Genomic DNA, 22,425 nt, shown 5'->3' on the forward strand with positions numbered 1-22,425 from the left:
AGCTAAAGCAACCTTCTCTTTCTATTAAAGTCCTTATATCTGTATCAGCTTTCTTTAACAGTTCTCATTAGAGATCAGATTTAGGAGGCTTGGGGAATCCTTTTATTCTATAGCCAGAAGTGAGAGAAGGGGTAAGGGGAGGTGTATTCACTAATGGAGTCCTAGAAGGTCCAGTGCAACAACCCTTTCTCCCAACATTGGAGGAGGTGAGGACAGTGAGAGGACCACTACTCTGCAGGTCAGGCCATGGGTTCAAGTTACACACGTGCTGGGAGATTCTTGCACAATTCCTCAACCTCTCCTCAGTTTCGTACTCTATGAGAGCCTCAGACCCACTTCATTAACTTGTAATGTTCAAAAGAGGGCTGAGAGCAGCCACTTGAAAATGCTTTATGAACTGTAAAATTCTCTAGAACTCTAAGGAATGGTTATGATCATGGGGCTCTATGACCCAGATCTACAGCCTTATGTAAAGTCCCTGCTCCTCTTCTTGCTGTCCCAGGAACAGATGGAAAATCTGAGTCCTTCTGACTTCTTATTTTGACATACTGTGTGGTCTGGAAACAAAGCTTATGTACTTTTGCAGTTACCTCTTTGGAAGAAGTGTGAAGCAGACTAGGCAGTTTAGAAAGCACAGTTGTTATTTATGTTTCCTTATCGCTCCCGCAGTCACCCCACTGTGCTCTTAAGGAGGATTTGGGAGGGAGAACTGAACCCCTGTGGTGAGGAGTAATGAGTTTCCCTAGCTTTTGCATGAACCAGCTCTTTGGAAAGCTAACCTTCTCCCCAGGCACTCACTACTAATTAAGAGGAGGGGTGGCTGCATTGGTAGATATCTACTGAAGCAGTTCTGCGATTCTTTTCATCACTTGCACATCAACTTCTCTTCTTCTTCTTAACTCTCCGTGAGTATTCATGCATGGGAGGAACCGAGGAAACAGTGGACCCAGATTCAAGGAAAGGACAGTGTAGCTGTAGGACTCAGTTTCCCTCCATGTTTAGGTAGAGGGTCTACAGTCAGACTGCCTGGGTTTGTATCCTAGCCCTGCCGCTGTCTGTGTGTTTTTGAGCACGTCACTTATGTTCTTTAATACTCAGCTTTGCCACCTGTAGAATGGAAATGGCACTACCACCCTCAGTGGGGCTGTTTTGGGTACCAGATGAGATAACTTATGTAAACAACAAGATGCTTCGTGTGAAATCACCTCTCAGTAACTGGCCTCTGTGGGTATTTTAATCAGTCCCTTATTTAGCACATGATACTGACTATCAACTTTTGTGCAGAACAAGATGTTAGCATGGAGGAGCTGGCTTACAGAAAATATTTTAGACTTTCCGAGACACTGAAATGCCAGAGGAAGCTGGTTCTGTTTAAAACAAAACAAAGTGAAAGACATACATACAAACTATGGCATTGGAGAAGGCATCTTGGGTGGGATGGAAGTTGTCTTTTACTGTCTGACATGGTGTTAGAATTCAGAGGACAGAATGAAAGGCAGGGAACATCCCATGATCCAAAGCTTACCTGAGTATATGGTACTTTTATAACTGCATATCCTTGCAGGATCTGCAGTAAATCTGATAAACAGAAAAGGAGATCTTGAGCTTCTCCCCACACCTCCAGCTCTGCATCTGGGCCTTCAATGTGATTATTTTACTCTGAGAACTGCAGCCTTCTGTTTTTCTCTCCCCCAACATCATTTTAAAGCATAGCTTTCCAAATGCCATTTCTCTTCTGAAGCCAATATATTTTTTACAGTTGGAGTTAGCTGCAATGTCTTTCACAGCTCGCAAGTCATTGGGAAGATTTGATGTTCATTCTGCTAAAATATTGCTGCCTGAAGACTCAACTGTGAAATGCAGCTGTCTAGTGTGTTTGTACTTCGCAATATTCCCAAAACACACAGGCATGCACATGTGCACACATACATGAAAATATATGCACATTCACACATATACGCTTTTTAAATATATATTTAAAAGTTTTTAAATGAAAGCCTGTTTATTATGGGAGGAGATTCTGCACAATTAAAGGTATCATTCATCCTGAGCAATTTTGAGGATACTAGAAAAAATGTAGACTATACAAAGCTGGTGTGTGTCTGTGTGTGTGTGTGTGTGTGTGTGTCAGAGAGAGAGACAGAGAGAGACAGAGATTAAGACAATACACTCTCATCTAAGATTATTTACAGTCTAACTTCTTAAGCCATGATCTCTACGTTGGATAGTTGGAAACATTTTATAAAAGAGATTATTTATAGAGGACAGACTTGGGAAACAGACCGTCCTAGGTTCAGATGTTGGCTTTGTTACTTTACAAGTTGCATGAACCTGGGCAAATTGATTAGACTCATCAAGGTATACTCCTTCACTGATAAAATTGCCACCTACCTCCAATAACTTTTCTTAGAATTAAATGTGATTAATGTGATTATATAAATAAATGTTCTTTGCACAATGTTTGACAAACATTGAGAAATAATAGCTCCCTACCCCTTCTCATCTTTTATCCGTGAGCAGAGTAATGAAATATTTCTCACCCTTCTCACATATTCCCTCTTACAAAGCCATGGAGTTCCCTAATTTGAGTGTCACTTGCACCTCCCAGGACACAGGTTAGAAGACTGAGACAGAACTCAAGATTACCTTTCAGCAGTCCTCATTAACTATTCTGTAGGCCAATTGTGTTAAGTGATTATTATTATTATTATTTTGAGACAGGGTCTCACTCTGTTGCCCAGGCTGGAGTACAGTGGTGTGATCATGGTTCACTACAGCCTCAAATAATCCACCCACTTCAGCCTCCTGAGTAGCCGGGACTACAGGCACGTGCCACCATGCCTGGATTTTTTTTATTATTTGTAGGAAAGGGGTCTTCCTCTGTTGCCAGGGCTGGTCTTGAACTCCTAGGCTAAAGTGATCCTTGTGTCTTGGCCTTCCAAAGTTCTGGGATTGTAGGTGTGAGCCATGTGCCCAGGAACATTAAGTGATTTTAGCAAGTGTAATAATTCCTAAAGATTTTGAAATTGTCATAGTTGCTCTGGATGGTCTAGTTAGGTTGGTGCAAAAGTAATTGTGGTTTTTGCCATTCACTTTTTTTTTTTCCACAATCACTTTTGCACCAATAAAGCAGTTTTAGAATGAAAATTCTCCACATTTCATTTTCAGCATTGTCTTTTGGAAAAATAGTGGGAATACATTTTTGGAGGAATACATTTTTGCAACTTTTTCCAGAATCTTTGCTCTTGTTCAAAATTCATACAAAAATTGAAGATCTTCGAAATCTCTGTAAAATTGAGGGTCTCCATATATAGATTTTCAAGTGTGGAATCAATGGCATCATTGAGGTAAAGGCTTAAGTGGAATATCACCACTATAATCCTTGCTATGAATTAGATTGCCAGATGAAAAACATGGAATTCACTGCCTGTCACAAGGGACACCTCCCCACTCCAAACAGAAGAAACACACCTCTTACAGACTCATTTTTACACCCCTCAAGAGCAAATAGTCCATGCTTATTATTATTTAAAAAACCTAGAGTCCTTCCAAAATGTAATGCATTATAAAAGCCTTCACATCATGGCTAATATTGAGAAAAGATTATTTATATTTTCAACTCAGAGGCAGAGCTTGGTAAAATGCTATAGTTGTAAAATTTTGTGGCTATGTTATTCTTTTTCAAGCCGAATCTCAGGCAGAATCTACGTATATAGAAATATGACAGAAAATAAAGAGTTGCTCTAGTTGAAGTTGGAGGCTTGGCCCATAACTGTTTGGCCTTTTTCTTGCTGCCTTGGCACATCCTGGCTTTATCCACACCCGAGTCACCACCTCAGAAAGTGAGAGTCACACAGTACATAGTAGAGAACCTACCAGTAGAGTAGAAAGAGATCTAACTTCAAAAAAAGAACATCAACATTCTAGCGCTAGTTCTGCCAGGAACTAGGGAGATGAGTGTCCAGTGAGGGAGTTAGATGAATGATCTCCATGGTCCTCTGTTCTGATGTTTTGTTTTTTCTTGTTGTTGTTTGTTTTGTTTTAAATTATTGGTTTTCATCAAGTCATCATCTTTGTTACCTACATATAAGCAATAAAGTTGTTAAGAGTTCTTTCTCTGTTTTTCCCATATATGCTTTCAACAAATATGGATTTAGGTGTTACGATGTTCCAGTATCTATGTTTTGTGATAACATGTTTTTTTAGAAACACTCATTGGTTTCATTTTAAAGTAGTTGAAAATGTGATCAGCATTATCTTTACCTGTTTTTTGCAGGTGTGCCATGTTTGAATAAGATTAACCATGATGTTGGCAGCAGAGGATGGGGGCACTTCAGTACAACTGAAGCAGTCATACACCACTTCTGATTACTGGGGCGATAACTTGAACACTTAAGCAATTGCTAGAGCAGATGTACGTTTACAGGCCTCTGCTGTTGTAACCACTGCTCTGGATTCCAGTGATTTGAGACCAGTCTCCCTCCCTTTGTAACCTCTCTAAAGGCAGGCAGTGTCTCATTGGTCCCAGGGCTCTCATTGCCTACGACGGTGCCAAGCAGAGAGAAGATACTTTGTCCATGTTTGATAAACACATGAGGGTTCGATGGCTGTAATGAGAGGAAACCCAGCAGTTAGAGTTTCCTATTCAAAAGTTCCTTCCAATTGCCATATGTGTTGTCTTATTGGGAATGCATTCTGTCAAGATAATGGTCCATGAGAGGCTGATGAAGAAAGAGCATAGCAATTCTTGAGGCAAATCTTATAAAGCTGTCTTGTTGCCTCTTGAGAAAAAGGGGGCTACATTTCCTAAGATTCTGAGTCAGGCTGTCCAAAGGTATCTGCCCACCAAAGTACCTTTCTATCCCAGGGTCAGCAAACATTTTCTGTAAAGGACTAGATACAAACATTTTAGGCTTTCTAAGCCATATGGTCTCTGTCACAACTACTCAACTCTCCTGTCATGGCATGAATGCAGCCATAGATAATATGCAAATGAATGAGCATAGCTATGTTTAAATAAAACATTATTTTTGAAGTCAAATGGCAGGCTGGATTTGGCCCGTGGGTTTTAGTTTTTGTCGATTCCTCTTCTAGCTTATAGTCTAGAAGTTTCACAAAGTTCTCTTAAACTCCAATTTAGTCTTTCCTTATCTGCCACTCATGAGAATAGATAAAATAAATGATCACAGGATATTTCTTGGCCTTGTAAGATCAGATATTCTTCCTGTTCCATGCTCTTCTAAAATTTAAAACATTCTCGACGAGGCACAGTGGCTCACGCCTGTAATCCCAGCACACTTTGTGGGAGGCTGGGAGGATCACTTGGGCTCTGGAGTTTGAGACCATTCTGGGCAACATAATGAGACTCTGTCTCTACAAAAAGTTTTTAAAACTTAGCCAGGAATGGTGATGCACGTCTGTAATCCTAGCTACTCAGGAGACTGATGGGAGAGGATCACCTAAGTCCAGGAGACTGAGGCTGCAGTGAGCTATGATCATGCCACTGTACTCTAGCCTGGGTGACAGAGCAAGATCTTGCCTAAAAAAGAAAAAAAAGTCCAAAACAGTCTCAAAGAGGCCTGCAAACCCCTGGTAGTTTACATTCTCAAGGTTATCTCTGTCCTACACATTTCGATCCAGATTTGAGTTTTCACCCTTTTATTATTTCCATAAAGGGACAGTCAAAAGAACTAACCATTACATTTATTCAAAACAGGAATATAACACTCTTTCCTGAGTATTTTAGGGGAGGAGAAAAGAGGAGTTATACTGCAAAACTGCAGCTATCTTTTAAGTGAACATTAAGCATTCCACTTTTTAAATTGTTCTTCAGCTACCTTAAAACTAGCAGGCATTCATTGACTATTTCCCCTACATCACACTGAACTTACACTAACCTGCTTTATCCATACTTCTTCCTCATCTACCCAAATGTAAAACCAAAACCTTTTCTGTGCCTTCTGCAGAACAGTTTTGGTTGCCTTGGCTCTTAGCACATCCATCTAACCCTGTTGTTCTCTTCCACCCACGTAATTTACCCAGTCATTTCACCAGGAAAAATCAGTCTCTCCCTAAGTAGAATCTGCGGGGTGATGGGTCAAGCATGCTCTCCCACATTACGTGTACATGCTATTGGCCAGACACTGTCTTCCAGCATCCTACTTACTTATGAAAGTCAAAGTCTAAAGTGAACAGGTATTTTACTCCTGAGGATTGCCTCTAGAAACGAATTCTCTCTGCTGGCTCCTCCTCCAGTAGCATGTAATTCATGGCTCACAGCCTACCAGGTCTAGGAGGGCTTCTAGGCACTTGTTGAGTGCAGTCTCTTTATTTGCAGGAGGAAAAAATCTGAAGTTCAGTAAGGAGAATTAGATTGCTTAAAACTCAGTTAGGATTTACAATGTAGGACTAGGACCCAAGTCTAAAATTTTCTACCATAGAAGACAGCAATATTTATCAAGTTATATATCTACAAAATTGCTAAGTAGCATTATTATTATTTGTACATATAGTTTATTGCTCATTGACTGGTACTTTCATTGTATCACTGTACTCATTATTTTTATCAAAATTTAATTCTTTTAATAATCATTTTTATAACAGTTTCTGAAATGGGATATTAAATGTAGTATGAGCAGAAGCTGCAGGAGGAAGGGAGCTAGAAAGATGCCTTTCTTCCTGGTGTGGTAAAGGGCATGGTTCCGGAGGGGTGACGACAATGAAAAAAGACAAGAAGTTTCATGAAAAAGTGTTTTATTCTGTGATCTCTTCTGTTTTTTTTTTTTTAAAGTTTTCCTAATCTTTTGAGACATATATTTTCTATAATAAAGCCTTATGCTTATGTAACTCTTGATGTTTTTCAAAGTGCTACCATATATCATATCATTTGATCCTCACCAAAGTTTTTGAACCATAGTGAATACACCAAGCTGTAAGTCACCTTAAAAGACTCCATGCCAACAACCAACCTGCTTTCTTCACTGACACCCAGACTATGCCCTGCACATTCTTTCAAACTTCAGCAATACACAGACACAAAGACACAAGCTGGTGCTCTTTTTCTCTCTCCCTCTCTCACCCTTTTCTTCTTTCATAAATATTTGTCAACAGTCATGAAACAAAGAAATTTGCAGACTTTATCTGACATCAGAATGTGCTTTTCTGAAAATAGATGCACTGAATGAGATAATGACTTTGGAATTACCCTATATGAATCATTAAATTATTCAGCCAATGTGTACATTCTTTTTATGCTCAGAATCTCTTTCCTTTAATCACCTCAAGATGGGGAAGGAGTATAATACTTAGAAGAGGAATCTGGAGATGCCATGATGTGGGGTGGTCAAAATTATCTCTAGGTTTTCTTAGAATATTCCACCATCCTCAGCCAAACTGGACCAAAAAGTTATTTCAATCAGTGATTCCGTTATATGGGGGAGTCTATTTAATTTTTAGAAGCAGTAGTGTAATGGATGGACAGTAATGACATGCTTTCTGGCTGGTTTATAACAAAGAATGCATTTGTTTTCTCATCCTCACATCTTTTACTGCTTGAATTTCCTTCCCTATGTGTTCTAGATGAAGCTTTATTTGGTGCTGCTCTGATAATCACATAATATCCCTTTTCCCCCCTTCTTTTGGCCTGCTTGTGTACCTGTTCTCTCTGTATTTGAAATTAAACCAACCCAATGCTATAATTGAGAGAAAGAGCTTCTGTTTTAATTAGTCTCAGTAATAGATATGACAATAAGCAGGGCTCGTTCACAGCCATTGCATCAAGCAATGGAACCATCAGATCGCTGATCCTAACACCATGAAAGCTGTCACCCTGAAGCGCTCTCTGATGGGGTACTTACTGTCTCCAATTACAGTTGTTTCTCCATTATCCATAGTTGAGGGGGTGAAGTAGAGGAGAAGATGGTGCCTCCATAGAATTTGGTGTGTGCAGAAGGATACGGGACGTGGAATGGGGAGTTGGGATTTGCTTACTAGCTCTCCCCCTCCACCGGCTAGGTGATTTTGGATGTCTTTCTCAATATTCTTATCTATAAATCAGATATGATAATCCACGTGCTGCCTAAACTAGCAGTTTTTGTAAACACTCAAGTACTGCAGGATTTGAAGATTGTTAGGCGTCTCTACTTTGCCATTCAAATTGCTTCCTTTGCTGAGTGGAAATATGTATTCAATTTGGGTTCCATCTAATTTTCATACCCATTTCCTGATAGCATTCAGTGGTCAAAAGGAAATGTAAGGAGGAAAGAGAGATGTAAAGGGAAAGTCTAATCTGCAGACTTGATGATCAGTGTTTACAGAATTCGTATTTGCTTCAAAGGACAGCCGTGACTTTAAGAAAATCCAAGATGGCCCCCCTCAGCAATTTAGAGTCATTTCAGCACTTGGAAGTCTCTGGAATTGCAACCAAACTAGTAATTTCCTCCACCCTTTTAAATATGTATATAAATAAAAAGAGGCTTTATTGGTTAAAAAAGAACATCTGAGCATTTAGTGACCAAGAAAATTTTCTGCAGTGTAGAAGTATATTTTGCATTAAATTTTAAATAAAGCATTCATTTATTCATTATTACCTTTTAAGGGCAACAAGTAAGTGCTACACGCTGGGCTTGGCCCTGAGATAACAGAGCTATTTTGTTAAGCTATGGAGTCTAGTTAGAGAGTCAGCTTTGGAAGGCAGGGCGACAGTGCTGAGCGCTGGGTCAATACGGAGTGCCAGGCTGCTCAGAAGGAAGGAGGGGTGAGTTGTGGGCTTCTTGGCTATGGAGACGAGGAGAATAGGAACATTCTAAGCAAGCCCAGTCAGCCAGTGAGAAAGTGGAACCAGGGCAAAGTGTCAGAGAGTGAGGCCTCTTTAATTAATGACACTTTAAGAAATATTAACTATTTCAGGAAATCAGTCCTGAAAAGAGATTTTGCCTCCTGACCATGAGGAATAAATACAGATTTATTATATTTACAAAGCTGCCTTTTCAAGTGGTTGACTTAGAGGATCAGGGAATCTCTGTCTCTTTGTAGAAATTAACTTCAAATAATAACTAACTCCTTTTATGTATTTACCAGGAACATTTTTGTCTTTTGGTTGGTTTGTTTTTTATTGATTGGTGCTTAATGGAAGGCCCAGTGAGACATTTGTAGCTAAATTTGTTAGGAGCCACTTCCAATTAAAGTTCATTTGTAATGAAGATAAATGATAATCTGAGTTAATAGGAAGACAGTATTCAACATTACCTTAAAAATGATTTACACAGAACAATTTAGGAGCCTTTCTAGTGCATAAATTAAGGTGAATATATGATTAAACCTCAAACTATCAAAGCCTCTCATTTAATTTGATATGCAAGGTGAAATATCATTATAAGGAACAGGATCCTGATTCTATTTGAAAGTAACTTTTTCTAAAAGCCTACAAGGCAAAAACGTTGGGCCAACTGGGAGGGAGCCCAGGGCTTATGCTGAAGTTTTCTGTATTTTGCTGTGCTCTTCTTCCAGCCCCCAAAATGCACAATTCCTTTGCCTAGTGGGTAAGCCCCCTTCTAGAGTGTAAACTTAACTGGGAGTGGGGTGGGATCCTGCCTCTGACCATACTGCAGCCTCAGTATCTAAAATAATACCTGGCACTATTAGGCACTAGTAGGTGTGCAACTAATATTAGTTGTATAAATGAAAGGATGGATGAGTGTGTGAATATAATAAAAGAGTAAAAAAACAAATGGTAGTTCTTCCTGTATATATATATCCTTGTTGATTTACATTGATGTGTACATATAGACATATATACTGATTTACATTGAGATATATATACGTGTGTATATATATGTATATATGTGTATATATGTGTGTATATATATGTATATATGTGTATATATATGTATATATGTAAATTTACCAATGTAAATCAACAAGGGTAGCTTTAAAAAGTACTGATGCCTATGTCCCGCCCCCAGATAATCTTATTTAATTGATCTCGGATTTGGCCCAAGGGTTGGGATTTATAAGTCTTCCCAGGGTTCTAATGTGCAGGTCTAGGTGGAGTCAATGTGGTATCCTTGTCTCGGAAGGCCTGGGGCCTCTATTTCTGTTCAATTTCATTCATAGACATTGACCTACCAATATTTGTGATCTTGATAAGAAATAGCGCTTCTGGTTTAACTTTTTATTCCTCCCTGTCACAGTAAGCCACGAAGTCATTTCACCTACATTGTAAAATAGTGCTACCTACTAGGAGATCTTCCACAAGTCACTTAACTTACTTGAACCTCAGAATTTAGAAAATGGATATAATCTCTTCCTTGCCTACACTACTATGTTTTTGGGAAGTTCAATTAAGATAATAGATGCAAAAAGTTTTAAAACATTATAAAATGTAATATTATAAAATTTAAGCAATTGTTAGTGTTTAGGAAAGCATAAATATGTTCATGATTAATTTGTAATTTTAAGGAGATGGAATTTGAAAATACCTGAGAATGTTATGGAATGTTACAGAATTCGGCTTCATAAATTAAGAAAGATGTCCTAGCTCTGTTAGCTTCTATTCATAATGGATATAACTACTTAAACTCTTTGAACTTCAATTTCAAAGATACCTCCTGTCTCAAAAAGCTGTGAGAATTGGACACATTTCAGAAGAGTGCTATGTGAGCTCTAAAGCATTATATTAAAAAAGCCTGTTACTTTGTTTTTGTTGTTGTTATAATATTTTTATCCCACTCATCGTTTGCTGGAAACGGCTCCCTTTAGATCAGGAAGGTTGATTTTGTGCCTTTCACCACTCGTAATTCAGTGACTTGAAACTGGCCATGGCGGGAGTATTTACACAAAGGAAGTCAGTAAATATTATAAATCAGGACCTTGGCCGGGCACCGTGGCTCATGCCTATAATCCCAGCACTTTGGGAGGCCGAGGCGGGCAGATCACGAGGTTGGGAAATCAAGACCATCCTGGCTAACACAGTGAAACCCTGTCTCTACTAAACAGAAAATACAAAAAATTAGCCGGGCGTGGTGGCACGTGCCTGTAGTCCCAGCTACTCGGGAGGCTGAGGCAGGAGAATCGTTTGAACCCGGGAGACAGAGGTTGCAGTGAGCTAAGATCGTGCCACTGCACTCCAGCCTGGGCGACAGGGCGAGACTCTGTGTAAAAAAAAAAAAAAAAAAAAATTGGGACCTTTTGTTTTTTGGAGATCCAGTTTACCTATATACCATAGCCAATATCTAAAGGTATCTATCATTCTGAAAGCGAAAGAGTAGGTACAATTGTCCCTCATTATCTGTGGGTTTCACATCATGGATTCAATCAACCACAGATTGAAAATGTTCAAATGAAAAAATAAGGATGGTTGTATCTGTGCTGAACATGGACAGACTTATTATCTTGTCATTATTTCCTAAACAATACAGTATAACCACTATTTGCATAGCATTTACCTTGTATTAGGTATTATAAGTGACCTAGAAATTATTTAAAGTATATGGGAGAATACGTGTAGGTTATATGAAAAGACTATGCTATTTTACATAAGGGACTTTTTACCATCTGTGGATTTTGGTATCTGAGTGGGGGTCCTGGAACCAATACCCCATGGATACTGAGGGACTGACTGTACTCAGTAATACTGGGTGATTTGAATAATTTAAGTTGAGGCATGGTTGAAACCAATAACACAGCAATGGTTGAGATTTAGCTTGCAATGGTTGAAATATAGTTTGCAATTCCAAGTATTAGTTTATTAAGGAGAAATTGTATCTACTTCACCCAGACAAAAGCAAACAATGGGCCAAAACCTTCATCTTTTTCTCCTACGTACTCAAGAAACCAGGAAAGCATACAGCATTTGCTAGCCCTAAAATAGAGGATCACCTGACTAGTCAGTTTACTGAAGCTAACCAGTCAATTTGAATTTTTCAAGCCAAAATGTGATTTATTTTCTTTTTAAAGAAAATCTCTTCTGCCCTAAGGAAGCTTTTATTTTCTTGTCAGGCCATTTACTTTTATTTGTGACTGACGGATTGCCATCTTTGTCAACCATCACCCTGATGACAGTTGGACATCTCTTGCCCCTCAGAAACAGCTCCCAAATTCCTAAAGTAGCATCCTTGTCATCAACACAGTGGGAATGGCTTATCTGATGAAGCCCCACTGAATCGAAGACTGTTTCATACTTCTGTTCTCTCTCTCTTGTTCTGATCTAACTAAGTGATATATCTAATTGGATTTAAACACAGGGATTTTATGGAGTAACTATAGTCTCTGTACGAGCAGACATTTAGACCCCTGTAGTTCCCTACGTTTTTATCCTCTAAGGCACTCCTTATTTCCTGTAAATTTAGTTGTTGCAAGTAGATCATTAGGTCATGGGTCACGCACTGTTACAAAAGGAAGTTAAAAAAAGATAGAGGCACTGCTCTCCATGCTAGAAATTAGCCAGGTGCACCATTATGTAAAGAGCTTCAACTAGAGAGCACAGTAATTAAAATAACAATGAAACAATAGCTTATGCAACACTTTGCAAATATGATATTTTCATTTGCGGTATTGTACAAACCAAGCACATCAAGCAGCAATGTTAAGTAATTTGCAAAAGACCAAGGGGAAGTGAATGAGGACACTGGAATGGAGTCTGTTTCATGCTATGCCAATCAAAGGCCTATTGTATACAAGGGGGTGTTGCTGTCTGTGGAGGTATCTGGATGACTTGTATCTCCCAGGATGTTATAGGTTAGCAAAATAAACAGTGTATGATCTAGAAAGGGAAAGGAGAGGTAGAAAAATCTGCTCATTGGCATGGAGTGTTGAAGATAAAGTTCTCATTTTGCAAGTCCCAAAATGATGCTTTTTTTCAGTGCACCCAGAAATGATCAGATGTGAAGGACCAGATCATGATTATCAAGCTCACAGGAGATTTATTTTTAAGTGACTGACAATATAATATTTAAGTAGTTGACAATAAAGTCATGTACACCATTCTAGTTATTAGACTATTCTTCTATACTATGCAGAGAACCCCTTTTCAGGTATTAAGATAAAAATAATCAATTTCTAAATAAAGGGTTTCTTGTGTTCTCGTCTTTTGGTTTCTTTGTATCAGCTTGCTCATTTCTACTCTGAATTTGGCATATCCCACCAATTACTGCATGCACAATTAATCTACTGGCAAAAAAAAATTGGAGAAGAAAGAATTTGGAAAGCATGAACACAAAGTTTTCCTTAGTCTATGAACTTTGTTTTGACTTGCTATTTGACCTGGTATGCTGTGGACCAGCCAAAGTGAGATGACCTCCTCAGTGCCACCCAAGCAAGTCTCACTAAAATCCTCTTCTCTTTGGTTGAAATTTTTGGAATGACCAATCATCTTTTTTTTTTTTTTTTTTTTTTTTTTGAGACAAGTTCTGGCTCTGTCGCCCAGGCTGGAGTGCGGTGGCGTGATCTTGGCTCACTGCATGATCGTGGCTCACTGCAACCTCCACCTCCAGGACTCAAGTGATCCTCCCACCTCAGCCTCCTGAGCAGCTGGGACTACAGGCACATGCCACCATGCCTGGCTAATTTTTGTATTTTTTGTAGAGACAAGGTTTCATCATGTCACCCAGGATGGTCTTAAACTCTTGAGCTCAAGCAATCCTCCCGCCTCAGCCTCCCAAAGTGCTGGGATTACAGGTGTGAGCCACCACGCCCGGACTAATCCTTTATTTTTATCTGTGAATGTATATTCATGATACAGGAGCTTATATGGTGGGACTGGAATCATTTGTTCAATTATCCCTGACTGCATTACCTGCTGATGATTGGTAGGATTGTAAGTGGTGTGCAGAAGAATGCAGTCTTGGGACTCATCAAAGACCACCTTAACAAAGACCACCTCAAAGACCCTCCTCAAAGACCACCACATTCCACACTCTAGGAGCTGCAAATGGAAATGACAGTTTATGGTTACATGGCCTAATAGTATTATTTTATTTTTTTAACTGACAAAAGTTGTATGTATTTATGATATACATCATGATATTTTGATAGATGTGTACATTATGGAATGACTACAGCTAATGAACATATGCATTGCCTCACACACTTATCATTTTTTTTTGTGGTGAGAACATTTAAAATCTACACTCAGCAATTTTCAAGTATACAATACATAGGCCACCGTGTTATATAATACATCTCCTGAACTTACTCCTCCTAATGAAAATTTTGTATTCTTTGAATGGTCACATGGCCTAAATAACTGAATTATATGTGCCATATATCCACAAAAATTATTTACTTTACATTAATGAATTACTTATTAGAATTTGAGGCCATTATACTACAGTTTACAATAGTGAACAAAATATTCCCCACCTTTATTCCCAGTAGAAGACAAACAGTCTGCAATTCTTTCCTTTAGATCTGCCTCCAATATCCTAGATCTTGTGACATTAAAGCTAATCAAATGGCTTGATAAAATGGGAATTTTCAAAGCATAAGTGTAAAGAAACCTGCAGCTATAGTGCTGACAGCACCGGTCATTGAAAATTAATCTTGTGGGTTTATATGACAGCACTGATACTGATAGGTATCTATTCTTTTGCTTAGTCATCGTTTATTTATTGAGCACCTACTAATGGCTGACATGGAGGTGGGCCCTGGAGGTAAAAGGCTGAGTAAAACAGATATGATTCTTTCCTCAGGGATTTTATTGTCAGGTGAGGGAAGTAGCCATTATTCAAATAACCCCACATATACATTTCTAATTCTAGCAAGTATTGTGAAGGAAATTAAAGGGTGATTATTTAAACACAAACAAGGGTGGGAAAGCGTTTGATCTGAGAGCTGAAGGGCAAATGAGAATGAACTATTCAGGGGCCAGGTGTGGTGGTTCACCCTTATAATCCTGGTACTTTGGGAGGCTGAGGCAGGAGGATTGCTGGGGGCAGGAGTTTAGACCAGCTTGGGCAACATAGTGAGACCTTATCTTTACAAAAATAAAGTTAAAAAATAAGAAGGATGAACTAACGGAAGAGACATGGGGGAAGGAGTGGAAGGAAAAAATCCTAGGTAAGGAAACAACATGACAATGTTGTCTTTCTCATGACAGGCTTTCTCAGAAACAAAAGAACAGTGCAACTGGAATACAGTCTGTGAGGAGGAAGGCCTTTCATGTGGAGGCAAGAGAGATTAGTCAAAGTCCAGAGATCACTCGTATGGCAGGCCTTTTGAAAGATTTTGCTCTTTTTCCTAATGACAAAGCCTTGAAGGATTTAGAGGGCCATCATTCAGATCTGGGGTCCGTTGGGAGCTTTACCAAGCCTAAGATCTCCCTCCAATGGAAAGACAACTATGTTGTCTTGCTAATGACCCAGCAACCATCAGATTCCATCTGCTGGTAGCTGTCAAAGGCAATGACAGCTTGTCCATGCTCCAAATAACTATATTATAGAAAATATGGTAAGCGTGGGCATCTTTGGGCAGATGTCATCCAAAACTTTCACTGGATTCTCAAAAGTGGTCCATGACTCAGAAAAAATTACCCTAAACTGGTACTTTCCCAAATGTAATCTAGTTTAGCATTTTTATCTCTAACTTGTTTTTCTTCTTGTTTTTATGTTAAAAAGTCACTGTTTCTAATATTCTGAGTGAGCATTAGTGCGAGCTAATGGCTTTTTAAAGAAAATTGGTGGTGGTTGTTACTAAAGTTGATGGATTTATTGAGCACCTAAAATGTTCTTTTTCTGTTCTACAAAGTGTGTGTATATGTGACTATTATTTCTGCAATTAGTTCCTGATTGAAGTTTCTACTGACCAAGGGGCCAGTGATTATTTCCTTGGACTGTGGATTCAGGCTCTGTTTTTTTTCAGGGATTCCTACAGCAGGCAATCCCTTTCTGTTCTATGAGCTACGAAAGACAGAATGATTAAAGTGGTTCTATTTCCAAAGTACGTAGGACTTTGTGGGGAATTTGTTTTTGCATGTAAAATACTTCCTAATAACATATAATCAGCTACACAGTAACTCTTTATGGTATGGCAACATTTTTGTGCAAATTACTATACTAGGAAATCCAGGGCCCACAATCCACTTCCTTAGAAATGTGTATTGATCTCCTACTATGTGTGCTACATTGGGGATACAAAATTATAAATTATAGTTGCTGCCCCCAGAGGTTTTAAAGTCTATTAAGGTTTGGCCGGACGTGGTGGCTCATGCCTGTAATCCCAGCACTTTGGGAGGCCGAGGCGGGCGGATCACGAGGTCAGGAGATCGAGACCATCCTGGCTAACACGGTGAAACCCCGTCTCTACTAAAAATACAAAAAATTAGCCGGGCGTGGTGGTGGGCGCCTGTAGTCCCAGCTACTCAGGAGGCCGAGGCGGGAGAACGGCGTAAACCCGGGAGGCGGAGCTTGCAGTGAGCCAAGATGGCGCCACTGCACTTCAGCCTGGGCGACAGAGCGAGACTCCGTCTCAGAAAAAAAAAAAAAAAAAAAAGTCTATTAAGGTTTGATGAAATATATTTTACAAATAATGAAAATCAGATGTGTTGATTGCTTTCATAGACATATATAATTTATCTCATTTAATATGTAGTGATTGTGATAGAGAATAGAACAATATGTAAGAGGGAATGCTGCCTCTATGAGTTTTACACACATAAATAAGACTTTTCAATAAAATGTGACGAGTGCTTGGATACAGGACTGCATGTAGAAGGCAGCCTCACTGAGAGTAGAGGATTAGAACAGGCTTATTGGGAAAGATTACACTGCATTGAGTCTTGAGGAGGACAAGCTAGCTAGGTAGAGAAGGAGTAAGGGGGTGTCAGGCAGAGGGCACAGCATGAGCAAAGGCATGAAGGTGAGATGGGATAGTTCCCTTGACCCATCTGCAGGATTCCTGAAGGCTCATTTGCTTAGCCTGCAGCTCTGAACCCCTCATGGGAGGGGAAGCACGCAGGTGAGCGGGTGCAGGTGCCGGGGCAGATGAACACTGGAACTGGCTGGTCACTCCGCTCTGGTGGGAGCAGGCTCTGTGTGGGCCCCGCAGCAGTGTCCAACTGTGTTGCAATGCTCTTTTAGCTCTGCCATCTGGGAAAGAGTGTCTGCGACCCCTGGAGCCCCAGAGGGTGTATGTTACAATCAGTGCTCCTTTAGCATTCGATGTCCATGGACAGCTAAGTGTTGACCAGTTCAGTGGAAGATCAGAGTGACAGCCTTTTATTTTACACTCTGTCACTTGGTACCTGAGTTCTTGTCTGGTGTCCAGGAAGAATTAGGTCATGCAAATGAATTGAAAGATGGTGTATGAGGAAGATTTTGTTGAGCAGTGGAAGTGGGTCTCAGAGGGAAGGGGAGCTGGAAGGGGCAAGGCAGTGGGAAGATAATCTTCCCCTCGAGTTCGACCATCCCCGGCCAAGCTCTTCTCTGAAGTCCTGCCATCAAGCCGTTCCTCTGAAGTCAAGCTGCTTCTCTCCGACATCCAGCTGGTTATTTTCTTCTCTTCTCCTCTGCCACTCCACTTTGCCCTTCTGCCAGTGGAGCTTGGGGTTTTTATGGGTACAGGGTGGGTAGCGGGATGGGCCAGGGTGGTTTTGGAAATGGCAACATTTGGGTGGGAAAACAGAAATGTGAAGTTCTCAGTTAGGGCCATGGGTCCAGGCTTGAGGGTGGAACCCTCGCCAGGGACCCACCCTCTTCTACCCAGCATTCCCCTGCCTCCTGTCGGTATCAGAGGGATGAGAGCACCTGCTAGATGTAAGGAAGCATAGGAAGGAACATAGAGGAAGGAACAGCTATCTCCTCTTCCACTAACGCAAGTTTAATAAAGGTGGCTTTTAGAGCTGTCATCATTAATGAGATGCGAGAAGACATCTCAGGAAAAGGGAGCAGCTCATGCAAAGTCATGAACTAGAGGAAAACAAGGTGTATTTAGGGAAATAAGTTGTTTCCTACTGTATGGTGTGTGCTCAGGGAACATGACAGGAACTGTTGGGAGTCTATGGAGGTGGGTCAGGAGGGCCTGAGTCCAAAATGACCATTCTCAAACACTTAAAATTAAGTCTGTTGGCAAAGATTTCAATATGGGCTTAAGGTAATGGAATATAAGGAAGTAGTGACAGCTTGTGCTCTCAGTTGTTGCAACATGTATGGAGAGGTATAGCTACCAGGAATCACAAAGCAGCACGTACTTGTCCTCCATTCAGTAGCTATTGCACCATCTCCTCCTATATGCTGTGCTATGAGCTGTGAGTTTCTGCTCAAGGTGCTCGAGAAACAGCAACAAGGAAAACAAAAACCTAGTTTTCCTGGAGCTTACATGCAAGTAGGGGCAAAAAGACACAAGCAACATAAGTAAGCATGTGTGCAGTGTGTTATGTGATAAGTATTACATAACAGGGATGTGTGTCACAGCGGGGAAGGGGGAAGAGGGTGAGCTGGGATATGTTTGTAATTCAGATGAGGTTCTTGGGGAAGATCTCACTAAGGAGATGACATTGAGGAAAGACCTGAAGGAGGTGAGGCAGCAAGCCATGAGGAAGAACATTCTAGGCAGAAGGAAGAAAGCAAGTGCAAAGACTTCACCTCGAGGGAGGAGCGTTTGAATGATTTTGCAGAAAAACAGAGAGGCCGGTATGACTGGACAGTCTGAGTAAAGAGAAGAATGAGATGGGATGGATTCAGTTGCAAGTGATTGAAATGAATAACAAGCATTCATCGATCCAAGGATTCAATGACCCTAAGTATTCTTAGGTAGAAAGCAGGGTGACAGGCAGGGTGAAATAAAATCTTCCTCTATTCTGTAGAGCTGTGACTTAACCTTTCAGTCTTGTGAAAATATGTATTTATTGGTACTGCTGGACAGTTTTCCTGCTGGCTGTGGAGAGAGTCTTGGTGAACAGAGAGGCCTGCAGCAAAAGAGTTAAGAGATACTTTCTACTCTAGATGAATCAGACAGAAATGAGTCATTTTTTAAATTACAGAGGTGGACACCACTTTACTTAGCAACTGTCCTTTTGAAAATTAGCTTTAATTTTTTTTATTTCAGTCATAATCACGGAACTATAATTACTGGAAAGGACCTTGTTTGTCATCTAACCCAGCTCTCATTTTATAGTTTCTTAAGAAACTAAGGTATGAAGTGTAGCTGAAATACTATTACAAATAAATCTATTCACTATTTAAAACAGTATTCTCATAAGGAATCTTTTGAAAAATATATATAATCCCTTAAATTTATAGTTTCAAAAATGTTTTAAAATATTTATGAAGTCCCTACTATGTATTTGACACTATTCTGGCATCTGGGAATTCAGCCACAATTAATAAGGTAGATTTCATCCCTACTCAGTCAGCATTTACATTGTGCTGTGAGGTGGGAGTAGGGCTAGGGAGAGCTGGGAGTAGTATGTATAGATGACAAACCAGTATGTTAATATATGGACAAAATAATTTCAGAGAAAGATAAGTGATATAAAGACAATCAAAGCACAGTGATGAATCAGAAGAATTAGAAAGTACCAGAGCTGTGGCCATGCAGTGCCGCTCTGAGAAGGTGAACTTTGAGCAGAGAACAGATCCACCTTCAGGAGTTAGTGGTATGGGAATGGCATGGGGAGGGGACCAGGTTTTCCAGTCAGAGGGTACAGCCAGCACAAAGGCCCGAGCTTGCTGTGTTCAAAGAACAGACAAAAAAACCGCATGGTTGAAATGTAATGGAGGTGTGATATGTAAGATGGGTGTGGAGAGGTGCAAGGTGGCCAGCCCACATGGGGCCTCTTAAAGACTGTGGTTAGACAGGTCTACGAAAATGTCAGAAAGCTTTCAACAGGGAAATGTTGACATCAGGCTTCATTTTTCAGAAGATCTGGCTTCTGTGTGGAGAATGGACTATGTTGGGACAAAAGACGAAGTGAGGAGATTAGATAGATGCCAATTTTACCAGCTCCGGCAAGAGAGGTTGAGGCTTATGCTTGGTTAGCACTGGAAGTGAAGAAGTAGGAGCAGACTGGATTCTTTTCTATCAGATTTGGAGTACCATTAGCCGTATAAATCATTGTGGGGCGGGGAATGCCTGGTGCCGTGGCTCGTGCCTGTAATCCCAGCACTTTGGGAGGCCAAGGTTGGGAGCATTGCATGAGGCCAGGAGTTCCAAACTAGTCTGGGCAACACAGCAAGACCCTGTTTCTACAAAAAAATAAAATTAAAAATTAGGTAGACGTGGTCACATGCACCAGTAGTCCCAGCTACTGGGAAGGCTAAGGCTGGAGGATCTTTTGAGCCCAGGATTTTGAAGCTGCACTGAGCCGTGATCTCACCACGGCACTCCAGCCTGTGCAACACAGTGAGACCCTGTCTCAAAAAAAAAAAAAAAAAAAAAAAAAAAAAGTAAAAGAAATAAAAGAAATACAGATTTATTTAGTAACTTCATGTAAGAGAATATGAGGCTCAGAAGATGAAGTGTGGCTTTTTCGAAACACAAGATAAAACTATTTACTGAAAAGCCTAGACTTCCAAATTGGTTGCTGAAAGGATCCTGGGATGGAATGGCTCCCACTGATGAGAGCTTAAGCATGGCTTTCTGCTTTCCCTCCAGCTCTGGGAAGTTAGTCTTTTTTTCCTCCCTCTTCCATATGACTTGTTGCCAAGTTGTTTGATTATCTCCATGGGTTGCTTTCGCAGCAAAACTAGATGCCAGGTGGAACGCAGTCTCCTCCAGCTCCCTGATTCCTTGTGGCCCTCAAATATAAACCATGAGGATTTTTATTTTTGAGATCATCACTGGGAAAAATCACAACACAAACTTCAAACATGGAGAGCTTTTAGAGCACTGAATTTTTTCTAAGTTTTCATACTCTGGATTCTTTATGAGTATGTCTTATTTTCTTTGGATTCTTTGTCAGATGCAGTTCTGGCTAGGAGAGGCCGAATAATGGCCCCTCAAATATGCCCACATCTTAACAGGTGACACCTGTAATATATTAAATGGCAAGGGTGAATTAAGGTTGCAAATGGAATTATGGTCACTAATCAGCTGACCTTAAAATAAGAAGACTATGCTGCATTATTGGTGTGTGCCCAATGTAATCACAATTGTTCTTTAAATGTGGAAGAGGGAAGCAGAAAAACAGAGTTAGAGAGAGGTGTGAAGAGCTGGCTTCAAAGACAGAGGAAGTGGGCCAAGGGCCAGGGAATGCAGATGGCCTCTAGAAGTGCAAAAGATAAGGAAATAGATTTCTTTGTAAAGTTTCCAAAAGAGAAGTAGCTCTATCAACACCTGGATTTTAGCTTACCTAGACCTGTTTTGGAATTCTGACCTCTGGAACTATAAAATAATAAATTTGTTTTGTTGTAAGCTACCAAATTTTAGGTAATTTGTCATAGCCACAATAGGAGATGAATACATTTGCATTCTGCCATTATTCTCTGAGAAGGGACCTTTGAACTGAGTCCAAACAATTGTTGTTAATGGAAAGGGCTTATCTAGCCTTCCCAATTTATCTTTTTTGAGGTCTATTATAATGGATACTATGACTACTACTGCTACTACGATTACTACTACTGCATTTGAGCATTTACTATGTGTTTGCACTGTTTTAGACACTTAACTGCCCTTGTCATCCTTATTTTACAAAATAGGAAACTAGGACTCTGGCCCAAGGAGTGTGACACCAGCTTTTCAATGAAGACCTTACTTCTTCCTCTGTGAGAGTTTCACTTGCTAGCACCTTGCAGGTGAAAGGGAGGGTGGAAAGGACAACTTGAACTGTATGTTTTCAAGAGTTCACTCACCTCAATTATAAATTTACATCTCTGGAGACCTCACACTGACTCCCATCTCAGAGGTCTCCTAGCTTCACGACAGAAAGAGAACCTTAGGTCATTTCCTGAGAGTTAAGGAAAGTTAATTAACATTTAGGACCAAGGGACCAGTTTAGGTGCACATTTCTTGATGAAGGGCTTACTGAGTTGTAAAAGTTAATAGGAGGTAGAAAGATAGGAAGAGAGAACTTAGGACAGCCTGGGATTTTTTTTTTTTTTTTTTTTTTAACAATTCACAAACTAAGATTTGTTAAGATTCTACTAAGAATCTACTTTGGCTACATCTGCATTATGTGGTAGAGGAGGTGAGATGCCAAGTTTATAAGTGCATCATCATCTATCTCTGCTGTGTTTATAGAATAGTAACACATGTACCGAACATAAAAACACACTAAAGCACACAACAAGTGTTTAAATACAGAGTATTGCCCATTTAGCAAAAATATCCAGACACAAAGTTGAGCAGGCATCGAGCTGGATAATGCTTCCATGATGCAAGCACCCACATTAGTGTGGGCCTTGGACAATGGGAGGGGCATAAAAAAGGAAGCAATTTGGCTAAGACCCCAAGGGGTGCTTGGAGAAATCACCCAGTTTGGGGGAAATAAAATTG

General features: G+C 40.1%; 1 protein-coding gene across 11 annotated transcripts in view, besides 2 other annotated features; it reads left to right on the forward strand.

Annotated features, from left to right (window-relative positions):
* The window catches only part of CTNNA2 (catenin alpha 2), a 1,463,404-nt gene that overhangs the window by 822,247 nt on the left and 618,732 nt on the right, over positions 1 to 22,425 (forward strand). The window lies entirely within an intron of this gene.
* Positions 280 to 781: an enhancer, noted in NCBI's record as "OCT4-NANOG-H3K4me1 hESC enhancer chr2:80235029-80235530 (GRCh37/hg19 assembly coordinates)". NCBI's record gives its function as "activates a minimal SCP1, AML or CMV promoter by ChIP-STARR-seq in naive H9 embryonic stem cells {active_cell/tissue: H9 hESC(naive)}" and the evidence as "EXISTENCE:reporter gene assay evidence [ECO:0000049][PMID:30033119]".
* Positions 782 to 1,281: an enhancer, noted in NCBI's record as "OCT4-NANOG-H3K4me1 hESC enhancer chr2:80235531-80236030 (GRCh37/hg19 assembly coordinates)". NCBI's record gives its function as "activates a minimal SCP1, AML or CMV promoter by ChIP-STARR-seq in naive H9 embryonic stem cells {active_cell/tissue: H9 hESC(naive)}" and the evidence as "EXISTENCE:reporter gene assay evidence [ECO:0000049][PMID:30033119]".

Source organism: Homo sapiens, chromosome 2 (genome assembly GCF_000001405.40).
Source record: "Homo sapiens chromosome 2, GRCh38.p14 Primary Assembly".
NCBI classification, from domain to species: domain Eukaryota; kingdom Metazoa; phylum Chordata; class Mammalia; order Primates; family Hominidae; genus Homo; species Homo sapiens.